General features: G+C 39.2%; 1 protein-coding gene across 8 annotated transcripts in view, besides 2 other annotated features; it reads right to left on the reverse strand.

Annotated features, from left to right (window-relative positions):
- The window catches only part of FHIT (fragile histidine triad diadenosine triphosphatase), a 1504176-nt gene that overhangs the window by 1481118 nt on the left and 10409 nt on the right, over positions 1-12649 (reverse strand). The gene's annotated exons all lie outside the window — the stretch shown is intronic.
- Positions 8108-8217: an enhancer, noted in NCBI's record as "active region_20022". NCBI's record gives its function as "activates an Ori minimal core promoter by ATAC-STARR-seq in GM12878 lymphoblastoid cells {active_cell/tissue: GM12878}" and the evidence as "EXISTENCE:reporter gene assay evidence [ECO:0000049][PMID:35858748]".
- Positions 8418-8667: an enhancer, noted in NCBI's record as "active region_20023". NCBI's record gives its function as "activates an Ori minimal core promoter by ATAC-STARR-seq in GM12878 lymphoblastoid cells {active_cell/tissue: GM12878}" and the evidence as "EXISTENCE:reporter gene assay evidence [ECO:0000049][PMID:35858748]".

Genomic DNA, 12649 nt, shown 5'->3' on the forward strand with positions numbered 1-12649 from the left:
GTTAAATATCCTGGCCCAAGGCCCTTTGCCTTGTCACATCTTCACAATTTACTACTCTTTATCCAATTCCATATATAAGTGTTCAATTCTAACTTCATCTTTGGGTCTTCATTTCCTTATGAGGGCTCCCATGTCACAAAAAAACTTACATTAAATAAATTTGTATGCTTTTCTTCTATTAATCTGCCTTGTATCAATTTAATTTTTAAGCCCAGCCAAAAACCCTAAGAAGGTAGGGGTGAAATTTTGCTTCCCCTACATCTGTTACTTAGGTCTTATCTAGAGTTCAACCTGAAAGGCATATTTTAGGAGGAATATTGGCCAAACTGGAAAATATCTCCAAGAGGACAACTAGAATGGTGAGAGGTTCTGAACTTCACATAAGAAACCTGGGGATGTTCAGCCTGGAGAAAAGCAATGGGAGACAGCAAAACTACCTTCATACATTCGATGGGTCATTCATCAATAAGGCCATTCCGTTTTACTGAGCACTTCCTCTATACAAGGTACCATGCAAGGCAAAGGAGATACAGCACTGAGAGAGAAAGCCAGTCTTTTCTTACCATGCGGAAGGGAAAATGGATTTTCTCCATGTCACTTCACAAGATACTGTAGAGTAGAGCAGAGCACAGATTTTGGAATCAGAGCACTAGAGTAAAAACCTGTACTGGGTTGAATGCCATTCCCCACCCCTCCAATATGTCTGTGTCAAATCCCTGGAGCCTGCAAATATTACTTTATTAGAAAAAAAAGTCTTTGCAAATATAATTAAGAATCTTGAGATGAGATCATACTGGATTGTCTGGGTGAGCTCTAAATATAATGATCAGTGTTCTTACAAAAGAAAGGCAGATGCAGACAGACAGAAAAGAAGAAGATATAGAAGAGAAGGCCAAATGAAGCAAACAGTTATGTGGGTGCAAGCCAAAGAATGCTTGGGGCCACCAGAAGCTAGAAGAGGCAAGGAAGTTTTCTCCCCTAGAGCCTGTTGAGGGAGCATGGCCCTGCCAACACCTTGATTTTGGACTTCTGGCTTCCAGGACTGTGAGGAAATAAATTTCTGTTGTTTTAAGCCACCAAATTTGTAGCAATTGGTTACAATAGCTCTAGAAAACTAATATAACTCCCAATTACTTAGCTAGCTGTAGTACCTTACTAGCTGTGTTACCCATTGCTAATAACTCTAGCCCTCTGAGAACCAGGCCCTCATTAGGAAACTGGAGACAATAGAAATACTCATCTCACAGGTCAGAGATTAAGGAGGTATGTCAAACGTGCAGCACAGGGCCTAGAACAAAGTAAGTTTTCAGTACATAATAGTGTTATTATTAATGGATTCAGATTTACTGGGAAGCTTGTGTAGACCTTAGAACAATATATCAACAGGTGTAATAACAGCTAATTTATGCAGTAGGGCTCTCTCTACTGGTAAATATATGTAGAGACCAGATAAATCATTTTCCAGAAATACTGGAAAAGGGATGTTTATATTGTTTGGGAGGCTGGAATAAACATCCACTAGCCTTCCTTCTAGATCAACCCAGTAACCATTTCTCCTTGGTGCATCAGGTCAAGATCCTTAGGCAGGTTAACCCAGTAAGGGAAGTGAGGTATACACAGGGTTTGGCTGCTACCTTAAAAAGTCCCTTCCCCTCGCTGTACCTTGTTGTCTTTAGCTATAAAATAAGCATATTCTGATCATGTCTTAGTATTTCCAACTTGAAAATGCCAAGACACAATGAGAAAGACTTGGATCAATGAGATAGTTTGGGTATTTGTCCCCCCAAATCTCATGTTGAATTATAATTCCCAGTGTCAGAGGTGGAGCCTAGTGAGAGGTAATTGGATGATGGGGGTGGATTTTTCATGAATGGTTTAGCACTATCCTCTTGGTGCTGTCCTCATAATAGTGAGTGAGTTCTTGTGAGATCTGGTTGTGCAAAGGTGTATGGCACCTCCCCTTACTATCCTCTTGCTCCTGCTTTTGCCATATGACATGCCTGCTCCCATTTTGTCTTCTGCCATGAGTAAAAGCTCCCTGAAGCCTCCCCCAAAATGGAGCAGATGCCAGCACCATGCTTGTACAGCCTGAAGATCTGTGAGCCAATTAAATCTCTATTTTTTTAATAAATTACTGAGTCTCCTGTATTTCTTTATAGCAATGCAAGAATGGCCTAATATCATCACACACTTAAATTTTCTGATTCTCAGAAATGAAGCAATTAGACTAGAGTAAGGATTGCTAAGGACCAGTTGACAAACCAGGACCAAACCATAATATTGTTTTTAACCAGTACCTAGCAAAATGAGAAAAATTTAAAAAATAATAATTTTTTAAATGTCTTTGCTTGGCAGAATTAAAAGTTAGCAATCCTATGTCAGCTCCCATCCTATCTCACTTCCTAATTCAAAAATTATGTTTACAGCCTCTGAAATTCTAAAGTTTTGGAACTGGTATATCACAGAACAATCTATTAAATTTGATTCCTACACTAATATTCTGTGATTTTTTTAAAGGACATTTCAGAACTGTGGATTCTATCACTGACGTGTTCAAGTTCAAGAATAAGAAGTCATCCTTTTAGAATTTAAAAATACTCACTGGTAAAATCATATAGAACTAAATGTTCACAACAGTAAAATGGAAAAATCTAAATAAAATGAGTCGCTAGTAAATATGATGCTATAGTTTTACAAAATGTTATCATGAAGAGAAATTGGGTAACGCATAGGCATGAATCTCTCTATACTAGTTCTTACAACTGCATGTGAATCTAGAACTATCTAAATAAAAATTTCAGTTAAAAAATACTCACTGGGTTGTGTGCAATGGCTCATGCCTGAAACCCCATTTTGGAAGGCCAAGGTGGGAGGATCCCTTGAGTCCAGGCATTTGAAACCAGCCTGGACAACATAATAAGACCCCATTTCTACAAAAAGTTTAAAAAAAATTGCTAGGTGTGGTGGTGGGCACCTATGGTTCCAGCTACTCGGGAGGCTGAGGTGAAAGGACCTCTTGAGTCCAGAAGTTCAAGGTGGAGCCATGATCATGCCACTGCATTCCAGCCTGGGCAAAAGAGTGAGTCTCGGTCTCTTACGGAAAAAAAAAAAAAATGCTCACTGGGCTCTAAAAGTTCTTAATGTTGTTTATTAATTCAAACAATGGTCAGATTCAAACTCAATAAATATAATCAACTGTGCTTTATACATAGCATATGGACAGTTACTATGAACCATTTGTTTGGCAAAGATGTACTGAGGATCTTCTATATTCCAGGCACTATGCTAGGTACTAGAGTCTGGTGGCCAACTCAGTTCTTCCCTTCACAGAGAGTAACACCTAGCTGGAGAAAAAGGCAATAAATAAAGAGACAACTTCAAATTGTAACAAGTGCTATGGAAAAAAGAAAGGCTGAGGCAGAAAACACAGGGAGGGATAAGGAACTACATGAGCCATACATATGGAAAATGAAACTGTGATGCAGGAATGTGCCCTTATTTTTTGTATGCCTATATTATTGAACTGGCATAAATTCTGAATAATGAAAATATGTGCTTGGGTTGTGACTGTGGTGGGCTCTTAAAGGTAGGCTCTGCCCTTCTGCACCAATAAAAGGAGTGAGAAAAAAAAAGTAAAGTTGACATTTGCCTTTAACAAATAAGGCAATACAAGACTGTCCATATGTAAAAGTTAAACATACAATGGGGGCCGGGCATGGTGGCTCATGCCTGTAATCCCAGCACTTTGAGAAGCCAAGGCTGGTGGATCACTTGAGGCCAGGAGTTCGAGACCAGCCTGGCCAACATGGCGAAACCCTGTCTCTACAAAAAAAAATACAAAAATCATCCAGACACCATGGTGTACACCTGTAATCCCAGCTTCTTGGGAGGCTGAGGCACGAGAATCGCTTGAACCAGGGAGGTGGAGGTTGCAGTGAGCTGAGATCTTGCCACTGCACTTCAGCCTGAGGGACAGAGCAAGACCTTGTCTCAAAAGAAAAAAGAAAAAACGTATTCCATAAACATACAATGGACACAGCACTCTGTGAGATGAAATTCTTTAAAAGGTATGTGAGTCATAATTTCCCATATATGCCCACCACCCCTTGGAGGAGGAGGGGTTGGCTCTCTACCTAAACTAGAAGATAAAACTCTCTCATAATCAAAGACAGGGGAGGACCAGGGAGGTCTTCAAGAGGAGAAACATACCTTTGAAATTCTCTCCCTTCTTAGAAGATTCAGAATATTTCAAATACTGCAAAGTATGCCCTGGGAGCCAGTCAAAATATGTAGTAGGCCAGACCACAGGACTAGGAAATTAAGATACAGCTGCCTGCTCCTATTAGGCCTAGGTGCAGGGCCAGAATATTAAGGTTAACTTGGGCCCAGTTTGGCTGAAAAGACACAGGCTTCAAATAAGACTGGACAGGAGAGCAGGTAAATAAATAGAATATTCACATAATGGAACATTATATAACAGTCAAACCAAATAAAGCAAGGTACAGAACAATGTGTATTGTACAATATCTTTATATAAGAAAGGAAGGAAAATAACGTACATACATATTTGCCTGTGTGCTAATAAAAGTGGCTACTACCTTAAGGGAGATGGGTACAAAGATGAGGGTATGAGAAGAGGAGCAAGAACAAAATTTCACTTTATACCTTTTTATATTGTTTTGTAAAAATAAAGAGCTAAAAGATTATAATTCTCATTGCTGGTGTTAGTCACACATTTGGAGAGGGCAATTCGGTGGTATACATCCAGGTCCTTAAAACTGGCATATCCCTAGACCCAGAAATTCCACTTTTGAAAGGAAGTTATCTAAGAAAATAATAAGAGATTTGTGTACACACACACACACACATTCACTGCAGAATTATTTATCATAGTTAAGAAAATTTTTTTAATCTACATGTAAAATAATAAAGAACCAGTGAAGGAAATTATGGGCCATCTAAACAATCCAGTAACATGCAACTGTCAAAAACTACACTGTAAAACATATACCGTAGAATACTCAGTGGCACAGAAAAGTATTCATAGTATATTTTTTAAATCATTCATTAATTTTTCAATACCTTCTTTAGAGCATCTACCAGGTACTAGGCACTGAGCTAAATGCTGATTTAAAAGGCCAGTTACAAAACAGTATATAAATGGACAATTCCATTTTTTGTGCATCTGTGCATTTATAACTAGACTAGAAGGATAGACACCAATATGAGAGTAGTGATTACCTGAGTGGCAAGATTATGGGTGAAATATATTTTCTATAATGAACATATATTATTTCTGCAATATGAGAAAAAAGCACCACTTTTTTAATCAGGCTAACAACTCCCAGGATCAAGAATGTGTCTCATTCATCTCTCTGTCCTCTCACCCCCTCCTGACTCCCTGAATACAAACATGATGCTTGCTTCAGCTGCAGCAATTCTGTGGCCATTATGGAAAGGCCAAGAACTGCAAGATACACTCTCCTTGACATCTCTGAGCTGCTGAACTAAAGCCAAAGCTAACCATTTCTAGACTTCTTTTTATGTGGAAGAAACAAACCTCTATTCTTTTTAAGCAGGTTACTTGCAGCTGAAAGCATTTGAAGCTGACATAGTAACCTATTAAATAATACATGACACATTAAGGCCAGTACAGGCAACCCAGCAAATTTCTTTGATCAACCAGCAGAAACTGAAGACTGATGTGGTTAATTGCCCCACTAGCTTCTGGCTCTGTATTCTCTTCTCTGAAGCTCCTGGGAAGTAGAGCCCAGGAGAAGCTGTTAGTGAGGATTCGAGATCCATAGGGGAGCACTGCTTGCTGCAAAGAAAAACCAGGCAGCTACTCCTACAGCTTTACAACGTGGCCCAGCATTCCCACTCCTGGAAATGTCTCCTAAGAAAAAATCATGAATGTGATTATGCACACGTGCAAATACATCAGAAAAAATGGTGAGGAAAACCTATATGTTGACCAAGTGGGATAGATTAAAAAATAATGTCATGTTCTAACAGTGGAATACTCTGTAGACATTAATGCCATGGGAAAATGCATACAATATATTGACGAGTGAAAACAGAAAACAAAACTGTATGTAAAGTATTATCCAAATTTAGAAAAATGTGTCCATTTTCTGTTAGAAAACTAACAGAACAAATATGCATGCAATAAAAACAATGGAAAAAAAGCCACACACTGAAATATTGATAGTGCTATCATGAATGGGTGAAATGCAATGTTATTTTATTTTTTGAGTATTTCTATATTTTTTTAAATCTTCCAAATTTATTTTCTTGTGCAGTTGGTAAGAAAATTTCTTCTAAATAGCACCTTCTTACAGAATATTCTGGGCCCTCCGACCAAGATGTTCAATTCATCCACACCAACTTTGTCTAATACCTGCCTGCAGATCCAATGGAGTTAACAAGAAACAATTTATTTTTGTGTTTTAAAAATAGACATGGCAACAGCTGTAAGCTAAGCTACAGAAAATGATAAAGAAATTTTATTTCCAAATAAATTTGCATTGTATAAATGCAGTACATTTTCTTTAATTCCATAAGGTTTTGATACTGCTAATTTGAGAAAAATATTGATGTTTCCTTAAATAAGTCTAATTTGTATTGAAATTCATCCCCTCACTTGAAATGGAATGATCTTGAAAACAATAAAAATGAATGTTAATTTGCTATGTCATTGATAAAAGCAATTCCTTTTATATCCTTGTCCTTATCCATTAGACTTCATTTTACAGAAAAGGTAGCTATCAGGCAGGTCTGACCTTTTTGCCACCTAAGGACATTAGCTATTAGAGCTCAAGCTCCCTAGCCGGATGGCCTGGGTCCATATCTTAGGCCCACCACTTGCCAACTGGGTGTCCTTGAGCCCTTGTTTAACCTCTCTGAGCTTCAGTTTTCTCGTGTGTAAAACAAGGATAATACAAGTATCGACTCCATAGAGTTGCTAAGAGGATGAAATACGAAAATCTACATAAAGATCTTAGTTCAGTGCCTGGCCATAGTAATCTAATTTAAAAAAAAAAAGTAAGGTCTCTTTTAACTTGCTTTCAATTTTTATGTGCAGATAGATCATGGACCTGAAATTTTAGGTCCTAAAGAGGCCCAAGCATCCTGGTTTAAGAACCCATGTTGGAAAAATTAGCTGGGTGCAGTGGCGCATGCCTGTAGTCCCAGCTACTTGGGAGGCTGAGACAGGAGAATCGCTTGAACCCAGGAGGCGGAGGTTGCAGTGAGCCAAGATTGCGCCACTGCACTCCAGCCTGGATGACAGAGCGAGACTCTGTCTCAAAAAAAAAAGAACCCATGTTGGATACAGATACTTGACTTTTAAATGCAGACTCAGTATCATTTACTTAGCGTTCCCTATGATAAATGAGATGTTTAGGGAAAATGTTGGGTTTTTTTAGACCACTGGAAATTGACTTCAGCATGTGTATTAGAGAATGTAACTACCCCATTCACCTTGTCCTGTCCAGTACTTTCACTAAAAGCAAGGTATTGTGACCAATAATAAAATCATAGCTAAAATAATCACTAACATGTCATTAGTGCTTAATATGTACCAGAAAGTGCCCTGTGTGTTTTCATGTATTATCTCATTTAATCCTCACAACTAACCAATGAGGTAAGTTCTCTTACTATCCCCATTTTTAGATGAGAAAACTGTGGTATAAAGAGCCAGGAAAGTGCTAAGTCAAGATATAAATATAGTATGTAACAATATACTATATTTACTATATGTATTATAACATATACTATAATAATATATTTTTGTTATAATATATAGTATATTATATTATATGTTATAATAATATAATATAGATATATAAATATAAATATATATTATTGTTATATAATATATATTATGGTAATTAGTAATAATAATAATAACACAGCATCATTATTCAATCCCTGTGACCTGCCAAATGCAGCTCTAGATGCCTTCCCAGTGACATCTCTTGTGTTGACAACAATCTTTTACTATTCTTATTTAATGGATGAGGAAACTGAGAACTTAAATGAGTTACTTAAGATGAGCTATAGCTCTGACTGGTTCCAAAGCCAGCCACTCCAGAATTACTCTTCTACAGAGGGCAGGGAAAACAGCTCATTAGGTCCCTGAAGTGCTCTACCCAGGTCACAGAATGTTGGAGAGGAATAGGACTTCAGAATGATCAGATCCAAGCCCTCACTTTACAGATGTGGAAAGGGAGGCCCAGAGAAAAGAGACTTGCATAAGGCAGTGGGAGAGCCAGAACTAAAACCTGGGTCTCCCAGTTGACATGATGTAGCCATCTCATGTTGAGTCAGCTATCTCAGGCACTGTGAAAGCAGGAAGGGAAAGCTGACAGCTTCAGAGTGATGACAGCAGACTGTCCTCCCTCTCTCTGCTCCCTGCTGACCCTGGGACTGCTGCATATGCTTCCTGGCCCACTCAGAGTAGCAGCAACATGACTTGAGAAGAGGCTCTTCAGGAGAGAACCCACAATGAAGACAGGAAGCACCCATGCCCTTACATGATCTACCTAGGGCCCATTTCCAATGGAATCCCCCTGAAATAGAATTAAAGATCAATGGAGATGGAGGGTTGCCTCAGACACATGTGGGTCTCTTTTGTAGACATACAACACAACCTAAATCTTTGAGAACATGATCTGACTCAACAAATTACCTGCATTTTTTCTGATTAAATGTACATCCATCTTAGTTTGTATACTGGATAAAAATAAACCAACTCGTACAGAAAGTTTTTTAAAAATAGAGTTTTGGGGTGTTTAATTAAAAATGCTTTCAGTATTATGTAATCCTTGAAATACAACAGTTGTTTACTCTGCTTTGATTTCTAAGCTTTCCTTTGATGACAGATATTAATATTTATCATTTTTCTGATGTTGGACTAATGAGAATCTTAAGTGTTTATGAGAAGCCATTTAAATATTACAGTACTGCAGATATGTTTGTTTTCTGATTTATATTCCTGTCTTTAACATCAACCAGGATTTATTTTTTTGTGCTGAATCCTGGGTTGTTGTTCATCAACATTTTCAGTAAACTTTAAATAGCCAGAACTGATGATTTCTACATTTATTTGATGGTCAAAGTGAATATGAAACTTCACCAAATAACATAGTACTATGGGAAAGGTTTAGTTATGATTTATAAAGTAAAAACTGGAATGCATGTATAACTGCTAGCCAGGAATAGAGTAACATTCCAGGTTTAATGACACTGATCTCAGGTCATACGTATTGAGTGCTGAGTATGTATCAGGCACTGTGTAGAACATAATTGAAATCAATGATTTCACTTGATTCTTACAACAGCTCTAAGAGCTAGGTAGTATTATCATCTCCATTTTACAGGAAAGCGAAGCTCAGAGAGGTTGAGCACTTCACTCAAGATGACACAGCAAATGAGAGGCAAAGCCAGAAGTGAGTCCTCAGGGTCAGATAATGGGCTCTTATTTATAATTCCTCTCTCAAGGGTCCCTCTGTGACTCCCCAGTATTTGAAAAATCTTATTCTCTACAAAGTATAAATAACCCATCTGCACAGAGCAACAGTCTTCAGACAACCCAGACTTTCAGATCTTGATGGCTATGATGAGTCACACCTCATTTTGTTTATCATAGGCCATGCATTGTTCTATGCATGGAGACAGCAATAAACAGCACCAACAATTGTCCCTGCCCTCATAGTGCTATCTTTCTAGAGAGGGAAGATAGATAATATTAACACAATAAACAAAGCATTATCACCATTATGGGGAGGAAACGGGAGGCTATGCAAATTCAGAGAAATAGTAAAAGGGGATGAAGTCTGCAGTTTCTGTAGATTTCACTTGCATATACTCCCCATGCAGCCAAGACTCAGCTAACCAGAGAAATGACTTACAATCAGTAACAGAAGATGGCCCAGAAGTAGTGTGGTACAGTGCAAAATCTAACACTGAATTCTCAGTTAGGGACCTGACATAAATCACTCACCCTGCATAAGGACCAGGTGCAGGGGAGACAGCCATCAGCAAAATAGCCACTACCGCTGCCCTTCATAGAGCTTACAGTCCAAAGGGAAGAGAAGCATTGATTTAAAATCAAAGGTTAAATAAAAGCTGTAAAAAGTATAAGAAGGAAGCAAAAGACACAGGAGCTAACCTATAGGAGACTAAGAAAGGTCAACATTCTGCCAATTGCACTGTCTGTGACCCACACCAAGTCATTTTTCCTCTTTACAGCCAGTTTTTCAAATATGCAAATAAAGGAGAGTAGACTAGATGAATCCAACCAGCTTCTTTCAAGCTCTTTTTAAAAATCTCTTGAAGCCATGATTCTAACATATAAAAATTATGTATCTCCTCTTCTTTCCACCAATTAAAAGATCCCAAACTGTCAGTCCCTTTCATTGTATTCATCTGCCTCACTACTGCTAGGGCTTTGTTCTTGATTTTCACTGCCATTTGGCAGAGAAGTCAAATCAGGAGGGATATGGATGTGATACCGCATTAGGGGGCAGAAGTGGGTATCGCAGATGCTCTGATCAGAACCTAGTGAAGGAAATGAGAAGGAATTGGGTTATACAAATGGAACCTAGGGTCCAGAGAGTGTATTAACAGGTAACAAATTAGCCTGTGGAGATAGTAGGCATTAGGGAAGCATCAGCCAGGACTGTAACTCATGTTCTGGCCAAAGGGAGGGGAAAAAAAAAGTCTAGAAGTAGTGGAGAAGCAGATGAGTGGAAGAGAGGTCTAGACAGCAAACAGCATGGATCCAACCACAATACTGAGATCCAGGGACAGGAGCATTACCCATGGGAAAAAAATCCAAATTCCATACTTTGACTTCAAGGCCCTGTATGGCCTGGGCCCTATCTATACAGCCAATTTCATCTGATGTCAGTCTCCCTTTCCCTCTCTATGGTTCAGCCACAGGGGCCTTCTTTTCTCCCTTTGATGGTGTTAAGCTCTTTCCCACCTTAAGGCCTTGGTATAGGCTATTCCTTCTGCCTGGGACCCCATTCTATTAATACCAGCTCTTCATATGGCCAGCTCCCTCTCATCCTTTACTTAGGTCTCTGCTTAATTCTCAGCTCTTTCTGTCTGGCCATTTTATCTCAATAGGTTACTCATCCCTCTTTCTATCACAGTATCTTATAATCTTCCTTCTTGTACTTGACATATTATTATTACAGGTGTTTGCCTATGTGTTATCTGTCCCCTTCACTAGACTCCATGAGGGCAGTGCTGATATTTTATATAGATCATCCCATTTAATTCATAACAATCTACGAAGTGGGTACTATTATGTCCATTTTACAAAGAGAAATAAAACTGCAAAGAAAAACAACTGGCCATATATATATATATATATATATACACAAATTCTAAACAATACTACTCATTACATTAAAACAGAATGGCAACTTAGTAGAAGCCACAAAAATCTGAAATCTTTTTATTTCAAGTGTAGCCCATGGACCAGCAACATATATATCACCTGGCAGCTTGTTGGAAATGCAAACACTTCTGGCCTCACCAGGGCCCTTGCATATAGTTCCAGCAGTCCTCAACCCACAGGAGTTGGACCCAGCTGTTCCATCTGCAACAGGAAGCCAAACACAGCTAACACCTCTAGGCCAGGGAAACCTTGGCCTGTTGCCTTGTGGAAGTTCAAGAGGCTAGAGGAAGCCTTAGTTTAGAGGAAGCTTTATCCCTGCTCAGAGGAGCCAAGAGAGGGCCTCAGCTGTAGATTTTTCTGAAGCTTCTTGGCCTTGTTTTTATCCACCAGGCTGGCAGAACCCAGCAAATGGGATTTCAAACTACAGTGGCTACCTGTTTTGCTGTATCCCTAGTGTCACATCCCTCTTCTGAAGGTATCAGCAGCTCTCGTTAACCAGGGCCTTTCTGTGTGTACAGCCCTGCAAGCTTTGCACAGCACAACTCCAGCAGGCACCAGTCACATATACTCTGGTATGAATGGTGGCCTCTGATGCTAAGAATGTGGCAGCCCTGGCCCACTTCCTCTGGGTGAATCTCTCCTCTCCCAGGGTGGGCATTTGCTCCACACCTGGCCACTCACAGTACCCCTCCAACTGGCTATAGAAACAATTCCAAGTGGTAGGCATATGGCCCAAGCTAGAACTCCTTCAATCTGCTGTAAATTTTGAGGTATTATGGGCAAATAGATATATTTCAGCCCATACAATTGAGTCTCTCTAAACTTGATGGAAAAAATCTGGGATCTTTAAGGTAACATGTTATATCTGATTATTAAGATGGGAATTTAAGGTACCTTGCCTTCTAATGGAAATTTATGTAGCCAATTACAGTGCCCCCTTCTTTACATAATTTTAACCCATTGGGATTGCTTTCTAACCAGTGGTTCTTGGCCCTGGCTACAAGTTAGAATCACTAGAGCATGTCTCGTCCAGATCAATTAAATTGGGAAAGGTTGGTGGCACAGGCCTTGGTACCTCAATTTCAGCTGCGCTAGACTCTGACTACTCATCTATGTAAGGCGTCCCAAAGTGGCATATGGTGTGCTACATAGTCTATGCTTCCAGGCAGGCCAACAAAGTGGTAGACTACATCCAGTGAAAATCAGACCTGCCACTTTCTGATGATGTAGTAACTG

The sequence above is a fragment of the Homo sapiens genome, chromosome 3 (assembly GCF_000001405.40).
Source record: "Homo sapiens chromosome 3, GRCh38.p14 Primary Assembly".
NCBI lineage: Eukaryota > Metazoa > Chordata > Mammalia > Primates > Hominidae > Homo > Homo sapiens.